This window comes from Homo sapiens, chromosome 1, assembly GCF_000001405.40.
Source record: "Homo sapiens chromosome 1, GRCh38.p14 Primary Assembly".
NCBI classification, from domain to species: domain Eukaryota; kingdom Metazoa; phylum Chordata; class Mammalia; order Primates; family Hominidae; genus Homo; species Homo sapiens.
In genome coordinates, this window is record NC_000001.11 from 220,120,442 (window position 1) to 220,146,908 (window position 26,467).

A 26,467-nucleotide genomic window follows, 5' to 3' on the forward strand; every position below is an offset into this window, starting at 1 on the left:
TCGGCTCACTGCATCTTCTGCCTCCTGGGTTCAAGTGATCCTCCTGCCTCAGCACCCCCCAAGTAGCTGAGACTATAGTCACGCACCACCATACCTGGGTAATTTTTGTATTTTTGTAGAGACCGGGTTTTGCCATGTTGCCCAGGCTGGTCTTGAAGTCCTTAGCTCAAATGATCCACCTATCTCAGCCTTCCAAAGTGCTAGGATTACAGGTGTGAGCCACCGTGCCCGCCCAAAATTAATTTATTCAATTGACAAAAATTGCTTATATTATGTACAACATGTTTTGAAATATGTATGCATTGTGGAATGGCTAAATCTAGCTAATTAACATGTATTTGTTGGGTTTTTCTTTACTCTCTTATTTTAAAATTAACTTTATTGTTTTAAAAATACAAATAATTTATCTAGAATCTCATAATAGAACCGAATTATAGAACATAATGCTTACTAAAGTGCATTTAGTAGACTTTATTTAGAACATGATGTTTTCATAATTCACAATATAAAGTAAGGAAGGAAGTCTTGCTCTCTAAATATTAGTGAGACTTGCTCTCTTAATGAGATAAAGCTTCTTCCCTTAAAAATGTTTCATGTTTCTTTTGGATACATTGAACAAATTTTTCTTTTGTTCTGATTCATATACTTATGTAACAAGGAAAAAAATCTGAAGTATGTTGTTTTATTTACAGTAGCCTTTTTGAAATTGGATTTTTAAAAATAATTGCAGGATTGCTTTTCATTGATGTAGCTAATGTGTAGTTACGTTGTTTCTCGTAAGTGTAATTAGGTAAGCTAAAAGAAAAACAAAAAACCTTTCCTCCTCACTAAGAGACTTTTGTCAGTTTTTTTAAAAAGTTTTTTAAATTTGCAAATAAAGTATGTATAAAACACAAAATTACATTTCTTATATTAAAATATGCGCTATATCTAAATTACTAATATTGTTATAAAAATGTAGCAATTAAAATGAATTTTAGACTAGAGGTGTCTGACTAAACTTGGTGGGATTTTACGGTTGCTTTAATAACATGCCAACAGCAAAACTGGAATCTTTCTTTCTTAATGCTTTTAGTTATATGCTCAGTAGGTTACTTGAATGTAGTTAAATAACATTTAAAATGTCATTGAATTTTCTGATATTTAGGAATATGAAAAAGAACTTATTTTTATTTTTTTTAAAATAGATGTGGGGTCTTTACTATGTTGCCCAGGCTGGTCTTGAACTCTTGGGCTCAAGTGATCCTCCTGCCTTGGCCTCCCAAAGTGCTAGGATTATAGTCATGAGCCACCGTGCCAGGCCAAGAATATGAAAAAGAGCTTAGTTTTATTAAAGTTGAATTTAGGATTCTAAAATATGGATGTGGAGCTGAGTGTGGTGGCTCACAACCCATAATCTCAGCATTTTGGGAGGCTAAGGCTGGAGGATTGCATGAGGCCAGGCATTTGAGACCAGCCTGAGCAACAAAGCGAGATTCCCATCTCTAGAGGGGGGGAAAGAAAGCAGGGCATGTTGGCATGGGCCTGTAGTCCCAGCTACTCAGGAGGCTGAGGCGGGAGGATTACTTGACGCAGGAGTTCAAGGCTTCAAGTGAGCTATGATCATGCCACTGCAATCCAGCTTGGGCCACAGAGTAACACCTTGTCTCAAAAAAATTAATTAATTAAAATAAAATAAAATGGATATGTTTCATCTATAGTCATAACGTTACTCACTTTCTTTAGTTATTAGGACTTTTTCTTTTAAGAATAAAAATTTTCGCCTAGTCTTCGTCACTTTTTCCGATGTTTATAGAAACTGAAACTCAAAAAATAGTATGATTTATTCCTGTCATTTTCCAGTTAAGTCCAGTTAGAGTCTGGTCTTTGGACTTAGTGCTTGCTGTGTCAACACACTAATCTCCTGAGACTGCCTAGTTCCTCACTTCATCTCTGATACGTAGTCTTCACTCTATGCCTGGGTAAAAGAGCCTTTCTGCCATTGCTTAGCAAACTCCAGAGAGTAAGAGTGTGAATTCAGTTACAGTGTTGTCTTTATAGATGAGTTAGAGAGGCAGAATAAAGAAGTAAAAACAGCACACCAAACTATGTATGATTTAGGAAACACAAATTCAAGCCCTGGTTTTAACTGTTACTTGCTTAGCTTCATAATTTAAGGAACCCTAAGGTGCAGAACAAATCATTTCTCAAGACCCACTGTGTATTTCTGTGAATCCAATTAGCAAGTGCTTGTAAAGTGCTTCGAAAAAGATATGTGGTGTACGTATATACATAGTTTTGTATACATACAAATACTCTTTATCTTTTATACATACAAATACATAAAATACTCTTTATCCTAACATTTCTACCGTATTTGCTAAATTAATATGAAATTTGAGACATTTACTTTTACTTCGATATTATTTTTATGTCTTTTTCCAATACATTTAAAGCTGTTTTACTGTTTTATTTTACTCTTTACCTAAACTTGCCAGTCTAATGATAACATTGTAAAAAAAAAAAGGCAAAATGACACCCATTTTTAGAATTATTCTTTTTTAATGAGAATTTCATTAGTATGAACAGTGTTATCAATTGTAATTGTGCGTATGTGTCCATGTAAATGTACTTTACTAGTATCTCTCTTTTATGGTTGTAATCTTTTTGTTTTTTTTTTCTTTTGGTCTTTAGATTTATTCAGATTTTTCTATTATACCATATTCATATTTTCTTAACTGAAAATGTTCTGGACAAACTATATAAAATAGTAATATGTAACTAAATACTATTGTCATATAACTAGGTAGTTATTACATAAGGTTTTTATGGTCTGATAACATAAAAGTTTATCTTTACTGTTAAAGTCCATCTAAAATGATTCACTGTCTTAGAAACATGCATTTATGCCCATTTTCCTTTCTCATTATAAGTTCTTCAAAGTACATGATGGTAACATTATACTTTTAAAATCTATCCTTCATAGAATACCAACTTACTGATATCCAGCTTTTATAAGGTATTTCAAATTTAAATTTGTAGAGCATATTTATTTATTTATTATTTTTTTTGAGACGGAGTCTCCCTCTGTCACCCAGGCTGGAGTGCAGTGGCGCGATCTCAGCTCACTGCAAGCTCTGCCTCCCGGGTTCACGCCATTCTCCTGCCTCAGCCTCCCAGGTAGCTGGGACTACAGGCGCCCGCCACCATGCCCGGCTAATTTTTTTGTATTTTTTTTAGTAGAGATGGGGTTTCACCGTGTTAGCCAGGATGGTCTCGATCTCCTGAGCTCGTGATCCGCCCGCCTCAGCCTCCCAAAGTGCTGGGATTACAGGCGTGAGCCACTGCTCCTGGCCTGTAGAGCATATTTAATTTATACTCATTTGATTTTGCTTTCCACAACAATTTTTGGTAAACACTTCATTTATCTGTGAATTATCAGGCCCAGACCTGACGTCAAATAATCAGTTTGAATAATGCTTACATAGTATTTATTCAAATGTGCCAGGTATTGTTCTATGTGTTTTATATTTATTAACTCAGTTAATATTCATAGGAAGTCTCTTCATGATGCTGTTACTATTTGTGTTTTACAAATGAGGAAACAGGCACAGAAATGTTAAGTGCCTTGCCTGGGTTCAAGTGGTGGAGCCAGAAATTAAGCTAAAGCCCCCTGCTGGCAGGATCCATGCTCTTGGCCATTATATGTACTGTGACTAAATGAAAAGCAACTAGAGGAAGCTGTAATAGCAACAAAGCTACAATAATAAATTCAATATTCTAATAAATCAAAAATATTTTATTTTTGTGAGAAACTATAGTATGAATTTTTTTCCCTGAGTTTAATTTTTAAATAATTTATTACTGTATATCTTCCTAAAGATACGACCAGTTCTGTTATTTATTTGATAGGGGTTGATTGGCTTTCTGTCATGTGTTAGGTGCTGTACTAAGTTTTACATGTATAGTCTCATTTAGTTTGTAGTTGTTCTGAGGGAAGTGTCTAGGATTACTACAATGTTAAGTTTCACCAGGGGAGGGATCTTGTGTATTTTGCCAACTGCTGTATCTCTAGTGCCTGTGCCCAGGACACAGGAGGTGTTCAATAGTTTCTGAACAATGAATTAGATTGTTCTTAACAGAAGGGAAAGCTAGGTCTTAAAGAAGTTTTAGTACTTGTGCATGGTCATATAAATACAAAGTGACAGTCAGAATATAAGCCTGGATATCTGTCATCACAGTCTCTGCTCTAATATGGCATTGCATCTTGTGCAGATGCCTGTAAGCAGGGAGGGAGTCCTGGAAAGTTTTCAAGCAGAGAATTCGTGTGATAAAAGCAGTTTAGGAATGCATCTATTTCAAGGTCTGTTTTGTAAAGTAAAGGGATGAGGGTAGGAGGAAGTACTCTCAGACCATTGATTGCATCAGTTTAGTTTTGAGGGAATGAGGTTGGACTGATACAGTGTCAGTGGGAACCACTGTAATCTTTCAAAGGTAGAACTGAGAGAATGTGTTGGTTTAATTTAGGCAGAAATCAGAAGAGGGAAGATAATTAGAAGGCTTTGAGTATAAGTACCTGGATAGAAAATAGATGAGTAAGAAATAGGTAAATCAGTAACGGAAACAGATGTTTTTTCTTTTTAAGGATATGTATAATCAATTTTTTATTTATATTGAATTTAAAATGATAGCAGCTTTTTCTTCAAACTAAGGTTTGAGGAAAAAGGAAAATAAATCACTATTTCTTAATTTTAAAATGTTTGTTATTCATCACAATAGTTAATTGAATAATTCTGCCATGTCCCCCCTGAAATAGCCAAACCACTGAGCATATTGTTAAACTAGTGGAACAACACGGCAGTGATATCTGGTGGACTCTTCCCCCTGAACAACTTCTTCCAAAAGAAGTCTTATCTGAGGTAAATTTCTGTTTGTATTTAACAGCCTTTGTATGTATTACAGGACTTAATGACAACATGAGAAATTCTTGAGAGTTAAAAAATTATCTTATGTAAAGTTAACAAATTTATTTACTGTAAATTAGAAGCTAATGCAGTGTGAAAGTAGACATTTTGTTTAACTATAGAAGTGTAGTATTTAAGGCTGGGCGTGATGGCTCACACCTGTAATCCTAGCACTTTGAAAGGCTGAGGCAGACAGATAGCTTGAGTCCATGAGTTTGAGACCAGCCTGGGCAATATGGCAAAACCCTGTCTCTACAAAAAAATATAAAAATTAGCTGAGCATTGTGGCATGCGCCTGTAGTCCCAGCTACTTGGGAGGTTGAGGGGGGAGGATGGCTTGAGCCTGGAAGACAGGTTGCAGCGAGCCAAGATTGCACCACTACACTGCAGCCTGGGTGACAGAGTGAGAGCCCATCCCTGCAAAACAAAGTGTATTATTAGGTCGGGCGCAGTGGTGCACACCTGTAATCCCAGCACTTTGGGAGGCCGAGGCGGGCAGATCACAAGGTCAGGAGATCGAGACCATCCTGGCTAATACAGTGAAACCCTGCCTCTACTAAAAATACAAAAAAATTAGCTGGGTGCGATGGTGGGCGCCTGTAGTCCCAGCTACTCGGGAGACTGAGGCAGGAGAATGGCCTGAACCCGGGAGGCGGAGCTTGCAGTGAGCCGAGATCGCACCACTGCACTCTAGCCTGGGCAACAGAGTGAAACTCTGTCTCAAAAAAAAAAAAAAAAAGAAAAAGAAAAAGCCACGCAACATACCTTTAGTCCCAGCTACTCAGGAGGCCGAGGCAGGAGAATCACTTGAACCCAGGAGACGGAGGTTGCAGTGAGCCGAGATCGCGCCATTGCACTCCAGGCTGGGCAACAGAGTAAGACTCTGTCTCAAAAACAAAACAAATCAAAAAGTGTAGTATTTAATAAAGTAGTGGAATGTGAGGGTCAATTGTTATCTCATTGAGGGCCAGGATTGATTGATGTTGACTGATTTGGTTGACTAAGCTCATGTAATTTACTGTTAGAGAACAGTGCCTAATGGTACATCAGGCCTTTGTAGGATCTGTAGTAGAGTTAGCTGATTGTATCACACATTAAAATATCCAAATTTAAAGTTAATTTCAAGGAAATAAAAACCAATTCATATTACATTGGTAAATATGTAATTCAGTGGCCACAGATACTTTTAAATGTGAATGGAGGGAGTTGAAGTTAACTGTGAAATGCTTAAAAATACTGTAAATTTCATCTAAAAATGTGAACTTCATGGTTGCATTTCATTTTCTGAAGACTTTTGGGGTACAGTATTTGTTGTCTATATTGTGATCTTTGTGTACCTGACATGCTTTTGCATTATCTTACTAGGTTGGTGGCCCTGATGCCTTGGAATATGTGCCAGGTCAGGATATTTTGGACATCTGGTTTGATAGCGGAACTTCATGGTCTTATGTTCTTCCAGGTAATTCTTAAAAATAGATATATGCCGATCAAGAAGTTTTGAAAATATGGAATTGGTATTTAGAAGGGATCTATAATCAAACTCTTTTTCTGTGTGTGCTTTATTTAGAGATCTGCTATATTTTAGACCTCGAAAGACCCTTAGAGTTTACTTAATCCAATGATTTCTAAACCTTTTTCTGTTTTTCTAGATGAAATTTCATTTAGAATTTATAATACAGAAAATAGTTAAACATGGGAATATTTTTCCTCCTTTCAACCAGTTCATTCTCCTTGGCCACTTGGCAACCCCAAGGCACCCAGTTTTGTAAAACAAAGTTTGGAAGTCACTGAAATAGTCTGACCCCATAATTTTTCAGAAGAGAAAATGAAATTGACTTAGAGCCAAATTAGGTGATGGTCACATAGCTTAGTAGTGTCAAACTAGAACGCAAGTACCCTGATTTTCAGTTCTCATCTTCTATACTACATTGCTTTTTGTGGCTTTTTCTCCTCTCTGTACAAACAGCTGACTAACTTTATACTTACAGATAATTAGCGAATGTTTTTGACTGATTGGATAAAGAGAAAGGAGAGACGTTGGGCAGGAATTAGAAAGGAGTAGTAGGAGAAGGCACATATTAGAGGATGTGTTTAGATGCTTGAGAAGAAATATTTTTAAGGCAACTAAGTGAAAAGATAGAGTTCAAATGAAGAACAAGGCTTGTTATCACTGTGAAGTTGGAGACAGGGATGAGATGTCACGGAGGCAGTGATGGATCACACAGTTCCTCACACTCCTACTAAGGGCCAGCTTTGGCCTGAGAGACCCTGTTTGCTTTCTGGAGTAAGGGTATGTGGGAAAAGTAGCTTGTCTATGAATCACACAATAGGATTCCTAGTAGGTGGATCTATTTCCTTCATTTAAGCCTTTCTTTCAGCTTAGGAAGTTTGAAAAACAAAATGCATATAAATTCATGTTTACTCTCTATTACAAGTAAAATGTGCGTAATAATAATGGCCAAATATAAGTTACATATTTTTATAATTTTTTTGTAGTGATTTTCAGAATTATTATTTCATAATTTTTCTCCCAGCATATTCGAGAGAAAATACTGCAAGTTTAGGTACTTGGTTTCCCTAAATTACAGTCATGTGTTATATAATGACACTCCAGTCAGTAGCAGACTGCATATATGATGATGGCCCCACAAGATGATAATACATCTGACTCCTGAACAACAGGGTTCTGACTGCACAGGTCTACTTATATGCAATTTTTTTCAATGAAATGCAGATGGAAAATATAGTATTCTCAGGATTTGAAACCCACATATAGAAAGGGAGGGCCGACTTTTCATATATGCAGTTTCAGCAGGGCCAACTGTGGGACTTGAGTATTCACAGATTTTGGTACATATGGGGGTGGGGGGCTGGGGGGTTGGTGGGTCCTAGAACCAATCCTCTGCATATATCAAGGGATGACTACTGTATTTTTACTGTACCTTTTCTGTGTTTAGATATGTTCAGATACACAAATACATACCATGTGCTGACATTGCCTGCAGTATTCAGTATAGTAACATGCTGTGCAGGTTTGTAGCCTAGAAGCAAAAACACTATGCCATGTTGGCTAGGTGTAGAGTAGGCTCTCCCATTGAGGTTTGTGTAAGTACACTCTATGATGTTCACACAGTGATGAAATCACCTAAGGACACATTTCTCAGAGCATATCTCTATTAAGCAATGCATGACTATGTATTGAAAATGCAGGTCAATACCACTACTTAAGGTAGTAGGAAGAAGAGTTTCCTGCTGGCACATTTTGGGCAGCATTCTGAATTTCAGAAAAGAGTATGCCAATTGTGAAACAGTGAGGTATAGTGTATTTCAAAGTGTATTCACTGCTTTAGGCTTTGTGAGAATTAATGCTGCTACCATTGTTGCTTTTCAGTTTCTGAAATGGTTTTACAGTGCAGTTAAGTGCACGTTATATTTGGCGCTGTCAAGTGGGTTAAAATCCATGAAAACTGGCATTAAAATCTATCTGATAGAGTTTAGTCATAATATTTCTAGAGTGTGATTTTTTTTTTTTTTCGAGACAGTGTCTCACTCTGTTGCCCAGGATGGAGTGCAGTGGTGCGATCTCAGCTTGAGTTCAAGTGACTCTCCTGCCTCTGCCTCCTGAGTAGCTGGGATTACAGGCATGTGCCACCATGCCCAGCTAATTTTTGTGTTTTTAGTAGAGAAGGGGTTTCACCGTGTTGGCCAGGCTGGTCTCAAACTCCTGGCCTCAAGTGATCCATCTGCCTCAGCTCCCAAAGTGCTGGGATTACAGACGTGAGCCACCGCACCCGTCCAGAGTGTGATATTCTTAACCAAATGATTTTCACTGCAACAGAAAAATTTTAAATTAATTCATAATAATTGTACATATTATTGAGTACGTGTAGTGTTTTGATAGGTGCATTTAATATGTAATGATCAAATGAGGGTATTTAAGATATCTATCATCTCAAACATTTACCATTTCTTTGTGGTGGGAACATTTTATATCTTCTCTTCTAGTTATTTTGAAATATGCAATAAATGGTTACTATATTTACCCTACTGTATTAAACACTAGAATTTATCCCGTATATGTAACTCCTTTTCTATCCTCATTGACCAAACTCTCTTCATCCCTCCCTCTCACCCTTCCCAGCCTCTGGTAACTGTCATTCTACTTTCTACCTCCATAAGATCAACTTTTTTAGCTCCCACATATGAGTGAAAATATGGAGTATTTGTCTTTCTATGCTTGGCTTATTTCATTTACCATCATGACCTCCAGTTCCATCCATGTTGCTGCTGATGACAGAATTTCATTCTTTTTTATGGCTGAATAGTATTCCATTGTGTATATTTATCACATTTTCTTTATCCATTCATCTTTGATGGATAGTTAGACTGGTTCCATATCTTGGCTATTGTGAGTAGTGTTGTAATAAACATGGAGATGCAGGTATCCTGTGGATATGCTGATTTTATTTCCTTTGCATAAATACCTAGTAGTGGGATTGCTGGCTTATATGGTAGTTCTGTTTTTAGTTTTTTGAAAAGAAACCTCCATAATGTTTTTTATAATGACTGTACTAATTTACATTCCCACCAACAGTGTATAATAGTTCCATTCTCTCCACATCCTTGCCATCATTTGTTACTTTCTTTTTGATAATAGCCATTCTGGGCTAACTGGGGTAAGATGATATATCACTGTGGTTTTGATTTGCACTTCCCTGATGATTAGTGATGTTGAACATTTTTTCATATACCTGTTGTCCATTCATATGACATCCTTTGAGAAATGTCTGTTCAGACCCTTTGCCCACTTTGTAATGAGGTTTTTTTTGTTGTTTCTTGTTTTTGCTGTTTCTTTATTTGAATTCCTTTATAATCTGAATATCAGTTTCTTGTCAGACAAATAGTTTGCAAAGATTTTCTTCCATTCCACAGGTTGTCTCTTCACTGTGTTGTTTCCTTTGTGTGCTGCAGCTTTTTCTTAATATAGTTCCATTTGTCTATTTTCGCTCCTTTACTTGTGCTTTTGAAGTCTTAGCCATAACATTTTTGCCTAGACCGATGTCCTGGAGGATTTCTCCTGTGTTTTCCTCTAGTAGTTTCATAGTTGGGGGCCTTAGATTTAAGTCTCTCTTTTGAGTTGATTTTTGTATATGGTGAGAGGTAGGGGTCTATTTTCTTTCTTTCTTTTTTTGAGACAGAGTCTCGCTCTGTCGCCCAGGCTGGAGTGCAGTGGCACGATCTTGGCTCACTGCAAGCTCCGCCTCCTGGGTTCACGCCATTCTCCTGCCCCAGCCTCCCGAGTAGCTGGGACTACAGGCACCTGCCACCACGCCTGGCTAATTTTTTGTATTTTTAGTAGGGACGGGGTTTCACCATGTTAGCCAGGATGGGGTAGGGGTTTATTTTCATTCTTCTGCACATGGATAGCCAGTTTTTCCAGCACCATTTCTTAAAGAGGGTGTCCTTTTCCCACTGTATGTTCCTGGTGCCTTTGTTGGAAATCAGTTGGCAATAAACTGGTAGATTTATTTCTGGGTTCTCTATTCTGTCCCATTGGTCTAAGTGTCTGTTTTTATACCAACACCATGCGTTTTTACTGTAACTTTGCAGTATATTTTGAAGTTGGGCAGTGTGATGCCTCCAGCTTTGTGCTTTTTGCTCAGTATTGCTTTGACTATTTGGGAGGCTTTTGTGTTTCCTTATGAATTTTAGGATGAATTTTCCATATGAATTTTTCTGTTTCTGTGAAGAATATCATTGGTATTTTGCATGGAATTGCATTGAATCTTTATTTATTTATTTATTTATTTGAGACAGAGTCTCGCTGTGTCGCCCAGGCTGGAGTGCAGTGGCACAGTCTCGGCTCACTGCAACCTCCGCCTCCCGAGTTCTAGTGATTCTCCTGCCTGAGCCTCCAGAGTAGCTGGGATTATAGTCATGTGCCACCACACTCGGTTAATTTTAATTAATTAATTAATTTTTTTGAGATGGAGTTTCACTCTTATTGCCCAGGCTGGAGTGCAATGGCGTGACCTGGGCTCACTGCAACCTCCACCTCTCGGGTTCAAGCGATTCTCCTGCCTCAGCTTCCCAAGTAGCTGTGACTACAGGCATGAGCCATCACGCCCAGCAAATTTTGTATTTTTAGTAGAGACGGGGTTTCTCCATGTTGGTCAGGCTGGACTCAGAACTCCCCACCTCAGGCGATCTGTCCGCCTAAGCCTCCCAAAGTGCTGGGATTACAGGCGTGAGCCACTCTGCCCAGCAATTTTTATATTTTTAATAGAGATGGGGTTTCACCATGTTGGCCAGGCTGGTCTCGAACTCCTGACCTCAAGGGATCAGCGCTGCTCAGCCTCCCAAAGTGCTGGGATTACAGGCATGAGCCACGATGCCTGGCCACGTTGAATTTTTTTTTTTTTTTTTTTTTTGAGATGGAGTCTCACTCTGTTGCCTAGGCTGGAGTGCAATGGCACGATCTCAGCTCACTGCAACCCCCGCCTCCTAGGTTCAAGCAATTCTCCTGCCTCAGCCTCCCGAGTAGCTGCGACTACAGGCATCCACCACCATGCCTGGCTAATTTTTTGTATTTTTAGTAGAGACGGGTTTCACCATGTTAGCCAGGATGGTCTCGATCTCCTGACCTCATGATCCACCTGCCTTGGCCTCCCAAAGTGTTGGTATTACAGGCATGAGCTACCGCAAGTGGCCTGTTGAGGATTTTTGTGTCTTTGTTCAACAGAGATACTGGCCTGTAGTTTTCTTTTTTGTTGTGTCTTTGCCTGGTTTTGGTATCAGGGTAATGCTGGCTTTGTACAGTGATTTAAGAAGAGTTTCCTCCTCTTCGATGCTCTGGAGTAGTTTGAGCAGAATTGTTGTTCTTTATATATTTGGTAGAATTCAGCAGTAAAGCCATCTGGTCCTAGACTTTTCTTTGTTGGGAGATTTTTTGTTACTTATTCAGTCCGGTTACTCCTTACTGTTCTATTTCTTCCCGGTTTAATCTTGGTAGGTTGTATGTGTCCAGGGGTTTATCCATTTCCTCCAGGTTTTCCTATGTGTTAGTGTACATTTGTTTATAGTAGTCTGTGATGATCCTTTGTATTTCTCTGTTGTCTGTTGTATGTCACCTTTCTCTCTCTTTTTTTTTTTTTTTTTTGAGATGGAGTCTTGCTCTGTTGCCCAGACTGGAGTGCAGTGGCCTGATCTCATCTCACTGCAAACTCCACCTCCCAGGTTCAAGCAGTTCTCTGCCTCATTCCTCCCAAGTAGCTGGGGTTACAGGTGCCCGCCACCATGCCTGGCTAATGTTTGCGTTTTTAGTAGAGATGGGGTTTCACCATCTTGGCCAGGCTGGTCTTGAACTCCTGACCTCGTGATCCACCCGCCTTTGCCTCCCAAAGTTCTGGGATTTTACAGGCGTGAGCCACCGCACCCAGCCCCATGTCTCCTTTTTCATTTCTGATTTTGTTTATTTGGATCTTCTTTTCTATTTTCTTAGTCTAGCTAAAGATTTGTTTTCACTGCATATGCATTTACCTTCTTACATTATCTCAGACTTTCCTGGCTGCACAGACTAGATTAAACTCTTTATTTTCCCCTTGGTAACACCCATCACAGTTATTTCTTTTCTTTTTTTTTTTTGAGACAGATTCTTACTCTGTCGCCCAGGCTAGAGTGCAGTGGCACAATCTCTGCCCACTGTAACCTCCACCTCCCAGGTTCAAGTGATTCTCCTGCTTCAGCCTCCCAAGTAGCTGGGATTACAGGCGCCCACCACCGTGCCCAGATAATTTTCGTGTTTTTAGAGATGGGGTTTCGCCATGTTGGTCAACCTGGTCTCGAACTCCTGACCTCAGGATTTGCCAGCCTCCACCTCTCAAAGGGCTGGGGTTACAGGCACGAGACACTGCACCCGGCCCCATCACAGTTATTTCTTGCTTAACATAAAATCTACCCTACTAGGTGTCAGCTCCAAGAAGGCAGAGTCCAGATTTCCCCAGGGTCTAACACAATGCCTGCTATATAACAAGTGCTCAGTAATATTGGTGCAATTGAATTGGTTTGATTCAGTTATTTAAATTTTGTTTCCCCACCTCCACTCAGTTAATCTTTCTTACATGAAGATTACAACACTAAATTTTCAGTCTTAGGACATAAGGACAAATCATAATTTTACAAATAAAAGGGATTATGGGGGCTTTGAGAGTTGTGAGTTTAGATTTAAAATATAGATGTAATCTTTATCAACGACCTCATGTTACTTTTTTTTGAAAACCCTTTTATTTTGAAAAGTCATAAAGTATCATGAAGAATTACAGCATGCTCTTCATCTAGATTTCCCAACGTTAACATTAACATTTTGCTACAGTTGCTTTATATATCCTATGTATATATATGTAGAGGAAAAGATGCATCTTTTATCTCAATATTTTAGTATATATTTCCCCAAAACATGGATAGTCTCTTAACATAACCAACACAGATATCAAAATTAGGGAATTAACATTGATTCCATACTGTTAACTGTCTATAGAACTTATTCCTAGGTGGAAAGAGGAAAAAAAAAAAAGGACCCAAGATCTAATCTGAGATCACATGTCACATTTAACTGTCATGTCTCTCTAGTTCTTGTTCTGTGTCTTTCATGACATTTCATGACATTGCTTGACATTCATGCAGTACAGGTTTATTTTGTAGATGGTCTCTCTGGGTTTGTGGGATGCATTGTCATGATTAGATCCACGTTATGCATTTTAGGTAGGAATATCACAGAAAGGATACTGTGTTTATTTCAGTACATCATTTCAGAAGTCACGTGATACATCTCTGTCCCATTACTACTGGTGATGTGTAACTTTGGTCACTTTCTTGGTTAAGGTGGCATCTGTCAGTTTTCTCTATTGTAAAGTTACTTCCCTTCCTCCCCACTAATTGTTATTAATAAGTATCTTCTTTTTCTATTTTAATTAACTTAAATTTCTGGGTTTTTTTTTCTTTTAATACTTAATTTTGAGGTCCTGACCAAAGAGCAGATTTGTACTTGGAAGGAAAAGACCAGCTCGGGGGTTGGTTTCAGTCATCCTTATTAACAAGTGTGGCAGCAAGGAAGAGAGCACCTTATAAGTAAGTATTTATGCCTGAACCAACCTGCTGAGTACCTGCCAGTGTGTGAAGCACTATGCTGAGTACTACAGAGATGATAAGGCACCACTCTTGATTGCTTACAGTGTCCTGTAAGAATTTGAAGTAAAAAAAGAGAAAGGAAAAAGGAGACAACACCAAGGTGTCTTGTGAGTGTGATGCAGATCATAACTCTTTGAAGAAAAAGTCAGCATTGACTGGAGTAGTTGGGGGAACTTATGTAGTTCTTTGTTGTTGTTGTTTTTTTTTTTTTTTTTGAAAAAGGATCGCATTCAGTCACCCAGGCTGGAGTGCAATGGTGTGGTCAGAGCTCGCTGCAGCCTCCGTCTCCTTGGCTCAAGCAATCCTCCTGCTTCAGCCTCCTGAGTAGCTGGGATTACAGACATGCACCACCACACCTGGCTAATTTTTAATTTTTTTTTAGAGGTGCGTTCTCCTCCCATTGCCCATGCTGGTCCCAAACTCCTGGCCTGAAGCAGTCCTCCTGCCTTGGCCTCCCAAAGTGGTAGGATTATAGGCGTGAGCCACCATGCCTGGCCTAGAACTAGATCTTGATCTATGGTAAAACTTGACTAGGAGGAATGTAGGGAAGGATATTCAAGGTTGAGAGAAGACAGCCTGAGTGCAGATGTCCTTTATATTTGTAATATCCACAGTGGCTAGTGAACTGAAACATTGCTTTCATGAATTTTATTAAATTAGGTATTCTCATTTAGTACACATAATTACTTTTTCAAACGTGTGGGTGAAAGTACTAATCAGAAAGATTCCTAAATAGCTTAGCTTAAGATTGTGGCTCTCTTAGGATAAAAACCCATCCCAGAACATTTCACATGTTTCTTTTTTTTTTGAGATGGAGTCTTGTTCTATTGCCTAGGCTGGAGTGCAGTGGTGCGATCTTGGCTCACTGCAGCCTCTGTCTCCCGGGTTCAAGCGATTCTCCTGCCTCAGCCTCTCGAGTAGCTGGAATTACGGAGCATGCCACCATGCCCGGCTAATTTTTGTACTTTTAATAGAGACGGGATTTCACCATGTTGGTGAGGCTGGTCTCAAACTCCTGCTCTCAAGGGATTCACCCTCCTGAGCCTCCCAAAGTGCTGGGATTACAGGCGTGAGCCCCCACGCCTGGCCCTTTTACATGTTTTTGTTTCTTAACATGCGTTTTAAAGACCAGTAAAAGGGCAGATCCTATTTTTTTCAAATTGTCTTTTGAAAATAATTTTGAGATGATAATCTGCTCTTTTTAAGACATACTTTTTCCTGGTTTTATTTTTTCATTTAAAATTTTTTTTTTTTTTTTTTTTTAGTGAGTTATATAGTTTTTCCGCTATCACCACAAGAGGTTTTATAACATTTCCAACACACTAAAAAGTTTTCTCATGCCCATTTGTGACTAATCTCCACTCCCACCCCAGGGCCCCTGGCAACCACTGATCTCCTTGCTGTCTCTGTAGTTTGCTCTTTCTAACCTGGTTAGTTTTAATGATAAAATCAGTACATAGCAGAAGCTCAGAAAATAATCTGTTTAGTGATGAAAATATCTAAAGTTTTCCTTTGTGTAAGTCGAGAGTTAACTGTTTGACTATTGTGATACATGAGCTAAGAATGACTTTTTTTGTTTGAGATGGAGTCTTACTCTGTCTCCCAGGCTGGAGTGCAGTGGAACGATCTCAGCTCACTGCAATCTCCGCCTCTTGGGTTCAAGTGATTCTCATGCCTCAGCCTCCCAAGTATCTGGGACTACTGGCACACACCACTATACCCAGCTAATTTTTGTATTTTTAGTGGAGACAGGGTTTCACCATGTTGGCCAGGCTGGCCTCGAGCTCCTGGCCTCAAGTGATCTGCCTGCCTTGGCCTCCCAGAGTGTTGGGATTACAGGCGTGAGCCACTGCACCCAGCCGAATTTGACTTTTAAGGAAAGGTTTCGGCCGGGCAGGGTGGCTCATACCTGTAATTCCAGCACTTTGGGAGGCCGAGTTAGGTGGATCCCCTGAGGTCAGGCGTAGGTAGGAGAATCCCTTGAACCTGGAAGGCAGAGGTTGCAGTGAGCCGACATCATGCCACTGCACTGCAGCCTGGGCAACAAGAGTGAGACTCCATCTCAAAAAAAAAAAAAAAAAAAAGAGAAGAAAAGAAAAGAAAAGGTTTTATTCATAATCAGTCAAGAAAAATCATATTTTTGTGTCAAACTTAGATACTCTTTTTAAGCTGTACCTAATCTTCAAAAAGATAATTATAATTGTGTTTATCATTAAAATAGCTGATTTGTCCCTTTAGGACAGTGATTGTTCATGGATTTACCCTTGGAGAAAAGGGAGAAAAGATGTCCAAGTCTCTTGGGAATGTCATTCATCCTGATGTTGTCGTTAATGGAGGACAAGTAGGTGATTCTCTAAAATGTATTTTATTTTCGTTTTAAGGATCTTAAATTGGCAGCCAAAGCCCTTAATATAGTTACTTCAATGTAAAAATAAAAACTATCTTTTATACTCTCAAATAACACATGATTGTAATGAAGAAGGCAGAGGCTGGGATTGTGGTCCTTTTAACTTATTTCAGGCCTGACTCTCCAGTTAGGTCCCAAACCACGCTGTTTCTTTTTTAATTGTCTGAGAGCCTTTAAAATGTGTAGATCCTTTTGTGATTCGTAAGCGTGATGATTGGGTTTTCGCACTATTGTGTGAGGTGTGCCTCCCTCAAACCTTGTTACAGTGTTGGCACATTGCTGTCTGAAGTGAAAAAAGAATATGTAAAGTGTGATTGTGTAGTTAAATGGAAATGATGAAAAATGAGATTGCAACTTCAAAATGCGCATTTCATTATTATATTGTTGAAAATTATACACTTTAAAGCAGGTCCTAAATGTACATCAAATCTGAGGTTGCTGATAATTTGGGGGGGTTTTTGGAGCTGCTTTTGTGAATTAAATCATTTGTCTGTTTTTTTCTATTTTTTAACTCCTGTAGCTTTTTACTGCCCGCCTAACATCCTGTAACCGTTCATTGTTTTGTGTACAGAGTTGCTAGGAAATAGTGAAAGGAAAAGCAGTCCTTCCTCTTCCCCTCCCTTATTATAGAGACCTCCCTGGCACTGCTGTGTGTCTAACCACCAGCTGTAATAGAGGAAACAGACATGACCAGGGAAGAGATTAGGTATGAGCATTTGTGCATTGAACAAGATTGCAGAGCACGCTCTTTCTTTTTCCAGTTTTGTTTTTAGATACAGTCTAATTTGAGATTGTTAGCCCGCATTTCATTACAGTGCTAGTATAGTTTGTACTTACATTGTGCTCAAAAATATCTGAATAGGAGCTTTACCTAAAACATTTGTTCGGCTAATTGGAATTGAAAGCCATTGTGTTTATATATTTTTTTCTCAATGAAAAGGATCAAAGCAAAGAGCCTCCGTATGGTGCTGATGTCCTTCGCTGGTGGGTAGCTGATTCCAATGTCTTCACCGAAGTTGCAATTGGCCCATCCGTGCTCAATGCTGCCAGAGATGATATTAGCAAGGTTAGAACTATTATTCTTCCTATTTCTAAAGGACAAGTTTGTCAAATCATTGTTTTAAAAAATGAGACACATTTTGTTTGGAACTGAAAAAAACTGAATGAAAACGAGTTCTTCATTTATTGTGAGATTTTAAGAATCTCCTGTGTTGGCCAGGCATGGTGGCTCATGCCTGTAATCCCAGCACTTTTGGAGGCAGAGGCAGGTGGATCACGAGGTCAGGAGTTCGAGACTAGCCTGGCCAACATAGTGAAACCCTGTCTCTACTAAAAATACAAAAATTAGCTGGGCATGGTGGCATGCACCTGTAGTCCCAGCTGTTCGGGAGGCTGAGGCAGGAGAATCACTTGAACGCAGGAGGCGGAGGTTGCAGTGAGCCGAGATCGCGCCACTGGACTCCAGCCTGGCGACAGAGCAAGACCTTGTCTCAAAAAAAACAAAAAACTCCTGTGTAAATTTATTTGTTTCAAAACATTGGTAGTAATACCAGTAATTTTATATAATTTGTATATAATATCCTTTATATTTTATTAATATATAAAATGTAATATAGCATAGTATAGATTATATTAATTTTGTATACTTTTATGTACTCAATAACCTTTCACATTTTTCCATGTATCTTTATTTCATTGTGAAGCAAGTGAAATAACATTATTCTGACCCACACACATGAATAAACTGGGCTACTGAAAGGTGATTTGCCCCAACGTAATAAAGAAATATAATGAAAATTCAGTCGTTAGGCGTAAAATCCAGTGGTTGTTCCTATAACTGGGCTATTGGAATAAGAGTTTGTTGTGTACTTTTTGTTTTTTATTTTTTTACATTTGTAGTCTTATTTGGAATGATAATAAAAATACCCCACTAAGAAAATGACAAGAGTTAGTAATAAAATAACTTTTCAGTGAAAATTGAAGGCACCATTAGATTTTTTTAACTGCATATTTTTTCTTCCTATGAATAGCTTAGGAATACACTTCGCTTTCTTTTGGGAAATGTGGCTGATTTCAACCCAGAAACAGATTCCATCCCTGTAAACGATATGTATGTCATAGACCAGTACATGCTACACTTACTGCAGGATTTGGCAAACAAGGTAAATGTAAATTAATAAACTTTTGGAAACTAGAAATATCAGCACTATTGTAGGTTAAAATTTTAGTTTTATCTGAGTGGAACAGACCTTGCTGGAAATAGTAACTATAGCACTCTTGAAGAGAAATATGTCCAGACTTCCCCTCGGACCAGATTTTTCTCTCATGATTAGCTCTATTTTTCCAACAAGAAGGAATAAAGTGGAGTTATACTTTATCTGCACATGTGCTCCTCATAATAAAGTACAGAAATAACCAAAATGGACTATCCTATTTGTCTCATAAGATACTTACTCATTTTCATATAGACTTAAATAATTTCTGTTTTCTGGCTGGGTGTGGAAACTCACACCTATAAATCCTACTACTTTGGGAGGCCGAGGTGGGAGGATTGCTTGAGGCCAGGTGTTCAAGACCAGCCTGGGCAACAGAGCAGGAACCTATCTCTAGAAAAATTTTAAAAATTAGCCAGGCGTGTTAGCCAGTGCATGTAGTCCCAGCTCCTTGGGAGGCTGAGGCAGGAGAATCGCTTGAGCCCATGGTTTTGAGGCTGCAGTGAGCTGTGATTGTGCCACTGCACTCCAGCCTGGTTGACAGAGTGAGACCCTGTCTTAAAAAAAAAAAATTGTGTTTTCTCATAATTGGAAATGTGTTTGCATTAGTGTACCCTTAAGTCAGAGGTGTACATACCAATTTTGCCCAAATCAAAAATAAATGAGGCATAAATGAAGGAACACTAATGAATTGTTGGTGACGTCCACTGTTTGCTGTTGTTAAAATGGTGTGATTTTGTTATTTACAATCTCATTCTTTCCTTAATTAATGTCCTTTCGTAGTTCTCAGAGTAAAATAGTATTTTCTGAGTGTAGTCAAATGTGTTATCCAGAAATGACATTTGGAAGATTCCCAGGAGTTCTTGCATATTGCCTGTTTTGTATTTGTCTCATTGAAACATATTTTTGAAAGGAGCATATTTTGCTTGTGATGACTTACATTTTCATTTGCCTGTCTCAGCTTCCAAATTTATTTTGGCTTTGTTCCCTAGATTACCGAATTATACAAACAATATGATTTTGGAAAAGTTGTTCGGCTGTTACGGACGTTTTATACCAGAGAGCTCTCTAACTTTTATTTCAGTATAATCAAAGATAGGTATGTATGACTAAATATTAAAATGCTTAACAATGGCCAGGTGTGGTGACTCACGCCTGTAATCCCAGCACTTTGGGAGGCCGAGGCGGGTGGATGACATGAGGCCAGGAGTTCGAGACCAGTATGGCAAAATACAAAAATTAGCCGGGCATGGTGGCACATGCCTGTAATCCGAGTCACTCAGGAGACTGAGGCACGAGAATCGCTTGAACTTGGGAGGCGGAGGTTGCAATGAGCAGAGATTGTGCTGCTGCACTCCAGCCTGGGTGACAGAGCAAGATCTCGTCTCAAAAAATAACAACAACAAAACCTCAACAAGTATTTTTTGAGTGTCTACTTGTGTTTGGCAACCGTCAGGGATACAGTGATGAGCAAGATGGGCAGTGTTGTGCAGTTATTAAGATTGGGTTCCGGGCCAGGCGTGGTGCCTCACGCCTGTAATCCCAGCACTTTGGGAGGCCGAGGCGGGCGGATCACGAGGTCAGGAGATCGAGACCATCCTGGCTAACACAGTGAAACCCCGTCTCTACTAAAAATACAAAAAATTAGCTGGGCGTGGTGGCGGGTGCCTGTAGTTCCAGCTACTTGGGAGGCTGAGGCAGGAGAATGGCGTGAACCCGGGAGGCAGAGCTTGCAGTGAGCCGAGATCGTGACACTGCACTTCAGCCTGGGCGACAGAGCAAGACTCCGTCTCAAAAAAAAAAAAAAAAAAAGATTGGGTTCCGGAGTCAAGTCTGAGTATAAAGGTTTGACCTCCCGCTTACTAGCTTTCTGATTTGGGGCAACTTATTCTGTAATCTGTTTCTTCATCTGTAAAATGGGTATAATAATACTTACCTCGTGATTGAGAAGGAAAAGCAATAATGTGCTTAAAGCTGTGCTTGATAAAGTGTTCAAAAAATCATCACTACTAATATCAGACGATGAACATAATGCTTGTTCTCAGGAGTTCTCAAATCCTGAGGGGAAGAGAGAGATATATATGTGCAATTATATGGTAACAGTGTATAATATTAGCAGTATCCTTGTAGAAGAGGCCTTGATGCCAAGTCTTCATCTGTTGCTCCAGTGTGCAGGTGACGGTCCTACCTTCATGGTAATGAGTCCAGTCTGAGGCGTTATCCTCAGCCTGTCAGCACCCCAAGGACCTTGCACATAGGGATTATAACTCCTACTCCTTCCCTTAAAACACTAATAACATTGGAGTGGGTGGGAGCCACATGTTAAATACCATCAACTAACTTATTCATAGTCCTTTAATACAGTAGTCTAGACTCTAGTTGTCATCCACCTGAGAAACAGAATGAGATAGCGTAGCCATGAGTGCTTTCAAGGAGGTGGGTACACCTGGACGGAGTAAAATTGTAGGAGAGTGTATTGTATTCTTTAAGTAGAAGATGATTAGAGCCATAGGATTAGCCACTAGGAATAAACTCAACCTGAGGCAGGTCCCATCTAGGTGACCATAATGTATAAAGTATTGTCAACTGCTGAATAAGTTGTTCTTGTTCAGGCTCTATTGTGAAAAGGAAAATGACCCCAAACGACGCTCTTGTCAGACTGCATTAGTTGAAATTTTGGATGTAATAGTTCGTTCTTTTGCTCCCATTCTTCCTCACCTGGCTGAAGAGGTGTTCCAGCACATACCTTATATTAAAGGTAAGGAATACTTCATTTATTCTCTTAATGAGAAATATCCCTGATCAAGGTGCAACTTCTACTTCTATCTGCTTCATAAAAGGGGCACTTATCCATTTACAGTGACTGCTGTGTGACACAGTGTGTCTTGGTCATGTATTTGTTTCTGCACCTATTTGTAGAGGAGTAGGGTAAATTTCAGAATTCTGTGCTTTCTGAAATGTATTAGCAGCTTGACAGTGTCGAGAAATCACCTTTTTTCTTAAATACCTTTATAACTGTTCTGAAATGGCTGGCATGGTGGCTCACACCTGTAATCCCAGCACTTTGGGAGGCCGAGGTGGGCAGATCACTTGAGGTCAGGAGTTCAAAATTAGCCAGGCCAACATGGCGAAACCCCATCTCTACTAAAAATATAAAAATTAGTGGGGCATGGTGGTGGCGGGTGCCTGTAGTCCCAGCTACTTGGGAGGCTAAGGCAGGAGAATTGCTTGAACTCGGGAGGTGGAAGTTGCAGTGAGCCAAGATCATGCCACTGTACTTCAGCCTGGGTGACAGAGCAAGACTGTCAAAAAAAATGTTCTGAAATATATTTTAGGTTGTATTAAAACAAAATATAGTGCTTTTAGTGAGTTTTATGTTAGTTGTTTTCTTCTGATTGTATTAAGTTTATAAAAATTAGAAACTATAGAAGTGTAGGAAGAGGGGGAAGTCACTTATAATGTTACTCCTGATAGCTGTTAATATTGGGATATTTCTATTTATTTTTTTCTAAGCATCCTTTTTTTCTTTGAGATCTTATTATATATTTTCTCTTTTGTTTAAATATAACAAAGATTTTCCAATGCTGATATAAATGTTTTGTAAATAATTAGGATGGATCCATAATATTTCATCACTTGATTACCATAAATAACAATTCTTATTTCCCATTAATGGTAACTATTTAATGGTTAGAGCTTCATATACAGTTTAGGATGTTTGTAAAGCAGTTTACTATTTTTGTTCTTCTGAAGAGCCCAAGAGTGTTTTCCGTACTGGGTGGATTAGTACTAGTTCTATCTGGAAAAAGCCCGGGTTGGAAGAAGCTGTGGAGAGTGCGTGTGCAATGCGAGACTCATTTCTTGGAAGCATCCCTGGCAAAAATGCAGCTGAGTACAAGGTTATCACTGTGATAGAACCTGGACTGCTTTTTGAGATAATAGAGGTATGCAGCAATATGTACCTTTTGAAATGGTGTTAGTATCATAGAGCTTTGCCTGAAATTTGCTTTTAAAATGTGTCTAAATTAATCAAATAACATTGGGTTATGTGTAACTTTACTATGCAATTATTCTATTATGTTCCTTTTCACATACTTTTTCACTTTTAAATATCTTTTAATAAATTAAGCAAAGTCATGCACATTTAAAAAAAAGTGTCTAAATTAAAAAAAAATTAATTTAGAAATTAGGGTTTCCGTCTTCTAATCCTGATATCATCACTGATTCTTTTGTTTCCTATTTCACCATATTCTTTTCCATGTCTTGTAAAACGTGTTCTGTGCATGTAACACATACATATTACTGTGTAGGGATAGGGAAGGAATAGATAAAGTTCTGTTTCAAACAAAAGGCCTCAGGACTATTTAGAAGACAGGGGACATATAAATTGATCGCGATCGTCTTTGAATGTATAAAAAATGGGAGTTTTGTATTAAGGGTCAGGTTTCCTGAGAATTTCATCCATCTGGACCAGATTCAAAACAAACCCAAAAAGAGTTTCCATTTTTATTTTGTGAAATCTGGAGAAAATTCATTTTCTCCAGCAAGTTACCACATATATTTCAAAGCATTTATCCTATTTTTATTTCTAGAAGGGCCATCAGAATTTTATTCTTGGGATTTTTAGGGGTTGATTGGCCAGATTGGCTTATAGCTTAACATAATGATGTGATTTTTCTCCAGTCTAAATGCTTAAGAAGAGAATTGGCAATGAATATAATTTTTTTTCCACGGGGCATTTTATTTGTAAATATATGTATTACATCCCTAGAAAAAGAATCCCAGGATTTTCCCTCCTGTGTGTTTTCATCTTGCTTCTTCATGGTCCATGATGCCAGCTGAGGTTGTCAGTACAATGAAACCAAACTGGCGGGATGGAAGCAGATTATTTTGCCATTTTTCTAGATCTTTGCTTTGCACATCAAATCTGGGGCTGATGTCTCCACACTTGTTTAGCCTGCCTGTGAGGTTCACAACAATTTTCCCAGCTCTGTGACCATCAGTGATTTCAAATTTGCCAATGTAACCATGCTTCATCATCACGGTGAGAAACAGGATGATGACTTTGGAGCACGGCCTAATAAGCACCTGGCTTTTGCCTCTCTTTTTGGCATTGTTGATGCTCTTGAGAGCATCAGCCAGGACATTCATGCGCACCATTGTGGTGGTGCAGAAAGACGGTGGAAGAGCTATTTTTTAAAAGTTTTATTAGTGTCAGTTTTCTAAAAAACATCCATCTTATTTTGTATGGTAAGCTCAATTTAAATTTTTAATGATGTAATTAGCAAGATTAAGATTTGAGCTTGAAATAGCTAGTAGGTATAATAGATGAGATTTTCCCATTTTAAAATTTAAAACTTGGGAAGCTGTTCATTTTACAAGTGAGGAAGTGAGGACTGCTGAAGCTGTGACCTAGACAGGGTAACACAGCCTAGTCCTGGCCTTTTTTCCTACATACTGTGTTTCCTTTGTCTTCAGTCTTTCTAAGTAATGAACTGAAAAGAAGAACAGCTTGTTTGGATCAATTTTATTGGAAAAAATACTTTGGGATTTTCAAAAACATGAATGTATTTTCCTTAGGAATCATACCAAGTAGCTGTAAGATGGAGTCCTGGTTCTATCCATTACTAATTGCATAAACTTGTTAAAACCAAATTAATCTCTTTGAGTCTCTTATTTCTCATGGGCTTTAATTTTTAAAGGAATGTCTATGTTGGTTAGCTTACAAACTCACTTTGAAGATCAAAATTACAGAGAAAAATGTGTTCATCAGACAAATTCAGTCTACTTCATAAGTGTTCTGCGTATTGTTCAGATTGCCACTATCAGTATACATTACTAAAAGCTGGTACCTGTTGAGATAGTATTTTAGCCCCTCACCCAATGATACATGAAAAAAAAAAAAAAAGGCTTTGAGGCTGACAGACCTGGGCTTGACCTGCAGTTCCACCACGTATGGGTTGAGAATCTTGGGCAAGTTAACCTCTCTTTGCTTGTTTCTTCATTTGTAAAGTGAGGATAATAAACACCATATAGGTTTTTTTTGTGTGTATGTATGTGACAATTAGAAGTAAGAGACATCTTAGGATCTAGCAAAGTGAAGTGCCTGGCATTCTCAATAAATACTGTTGATGGAAATATTTAGTTAAAACCTTTTATGCTAATTAGGATTGATACATTTAGTGATGTTTGCTCAGGATGCAATGGTATACCAGAAGGTTCCTCTCTAAACGTGAGATTTTATAGTGTTTCTTTTTATAACCTCAGTTTATGGTACAAATTTAACATAAACTGTAACTTTCACATGCTTCCTTCCAGATGCTGCAGTCTGAAGAGACTTCCAGCACCTCTCAGTTGAATGAATTAATGATGGCTTCTGAGTCAACTTTACTGGCTCAGGAACCACGAGAGATGACTGCAGATGTAATCGAGCTTAAAGGGAAATTCCTCATCAACTTAGAAGGTAAGAAGGAGATGAAAGTAACAAGTAACATCTGGAGAATTGAATAATTATAGGTCATCTCCAACTTTCCAGTGGACTGGGTTTATTCTAAAGGTAGATATATACTTGGAATACATCTTTCTATGGAAATAATAAAAACAATTGCCAAGTTTCTAAGCCCGCTCTTAAAACTATCTTACCTGATGATCTTGGGAACTGAGGGCTAGGGACAGAAGAGGGAGAGAGATTTTCTTTCTGTCCTTTGAATAAATAATGGTCACTGTATATGAAGTTTATGTTAGGCTGACTTGCTCCCATTCCTCTTTTGTGTCCCCCTGCTTTGATACTTAGTACCCCAGTACTGGCCCAGTCCTGCCCACTGTTCCCCAGTATTGATTCTAAAATTTCCTATTATGTATACCCCGGATTAAAATATTTAGCCATTCTTGTGAGGGGTTAAGGAGGAAGTTTTATTGAGCTCATTCTAACAATGGTATCTCATAAGCAAGCATTTTGTCGATATTTGTTTTATAGAAGATTTTAAAAGTCAGTCTGGTTCATCTTCATTGGTAGCGGTAGAGTTGCATTAATAAAGAAAAATAGGCTGGGCACGGTGGCTCATGCCTGTAATCCCAGCATTTTGGGAGGCCGAGGCGGGCGGATCGTGAGGTCAGGAGATTGAGACCATCCTGGCTAACACAGTGAAACCCCGAATCTACTAAAAATACAAAAAAAATTAGCCAGGCGTGGCGGCGTGTGCCTGTAGTCCCATCTGCTGGGGAGGCTGGGGTGGGAGAATGGCGTGAACCCCGGAGGCGGAGCTTGCAGTGAGCTGAGATCACACCACTGCACTCCAGCCTGGGCGACAGAGCGAGACTCCGTCTCAAAAAAAAAAAAAAAAAAAAAAGCAGGTATCTTATGCTGCTTGTGTTTTTCATAGCTTTTGGGTACCAGGAGATGGGAAGCTAACTTACAGGCATCAGTTCAAATTTGGGCTTGGCAGCATAGACCGTGTAGTAAAAGTTCTGGCTTAATTTACTTTGTGTAATTTTTTCTTTCGGACGGAATTTCGCTTGTCACCCAGGCTGGAGTGCAATGGCGCAATCTTGGTTTACCGCAACCTCCGCCTCCCAGATTCAAGCAATTCTCTTGCCTCAGCCTCCCAAGTGGCTGGGATTACAGGCGCCTGCCACCACACCCGGCCAATTTTTGTATTTTTAGTAGAGATGGGGTTTCACCATGTTGGCCAGGCTGGTCTTGAACTCCTGACCTCAGG

The 26,467-nt window shown here is 39.0% G+C and overlaps 1 protein-coding gene, 1 non-coding gene and 1 pseudogene across 2 annotated transcripts in view; 2 read left to right on the forward strand and 1 right to left on the reverse strand.

Moving 5' to 3' along the window:
- Positions 1 to 26,467, forward strand: part of IARS2 (isoleucyl-tRNA synthetase 2, mitochondrial) — a 53,910-nt gene that overhangs the window by 26,310 nt on the left and 1,133 nt on the right. The window contains exons 13-22 of the mRNA NM_018060.4: positions 4,796 to 4,898; positions 6,309 to 6,402; positions 13,961 to 14,069; positions 16,368 to 16,470; positions 17,477 to 17,602; positions 18,567 to 18,698; positions 19,742 to 19,848; positions 21,362 to 21,507; positions 22,503 to 22,693; positions 25,068 to 25,212. Coding sequence (NP_060530.3) covers positions 4,796 to 4,898; positions 6,309 to 6,402; positions 13,961 to 14,069; positions 16,368 to 16,470; positions 17,477 to 17,602; positions 18,567 to 18,698; positions 19,742 to 19,848; positions 21,362 to 21,507; positions 22,503 to 22,693; positions 25,068 to 25,212 — 1,256 coding nt within the window. The remainder of the gene's footprint in view (positions 1 to 4,795; positions 4,899 to 6,308; positions 6,403 to 13,960; positions 14,070 to 16,367; positions 16,471 to 17,476; positions 17,603 to 18,566; positions 18,699 to 19,741; positions 19,849 to 21,361; positions 21,508 to 22,502; positions 22,694 to 25,067; positions 25,213 to 26,467) is intronic.
- On the forward strand, positions 16,723 to 16,825 carry LOC124904824 (small nucleolar RNA U13). Its single transcript, XR_007067420.1, has one exon. It is a non-coding gene; the product is annotated as a small nucleolar RNA U13 (small nucleolar RNA).
- RPS15AP12 (ribosomal protein S15a pseudogene 12) lies at positions 23,477 to 23,935 on the reverse strand (annotated as a pseudogene).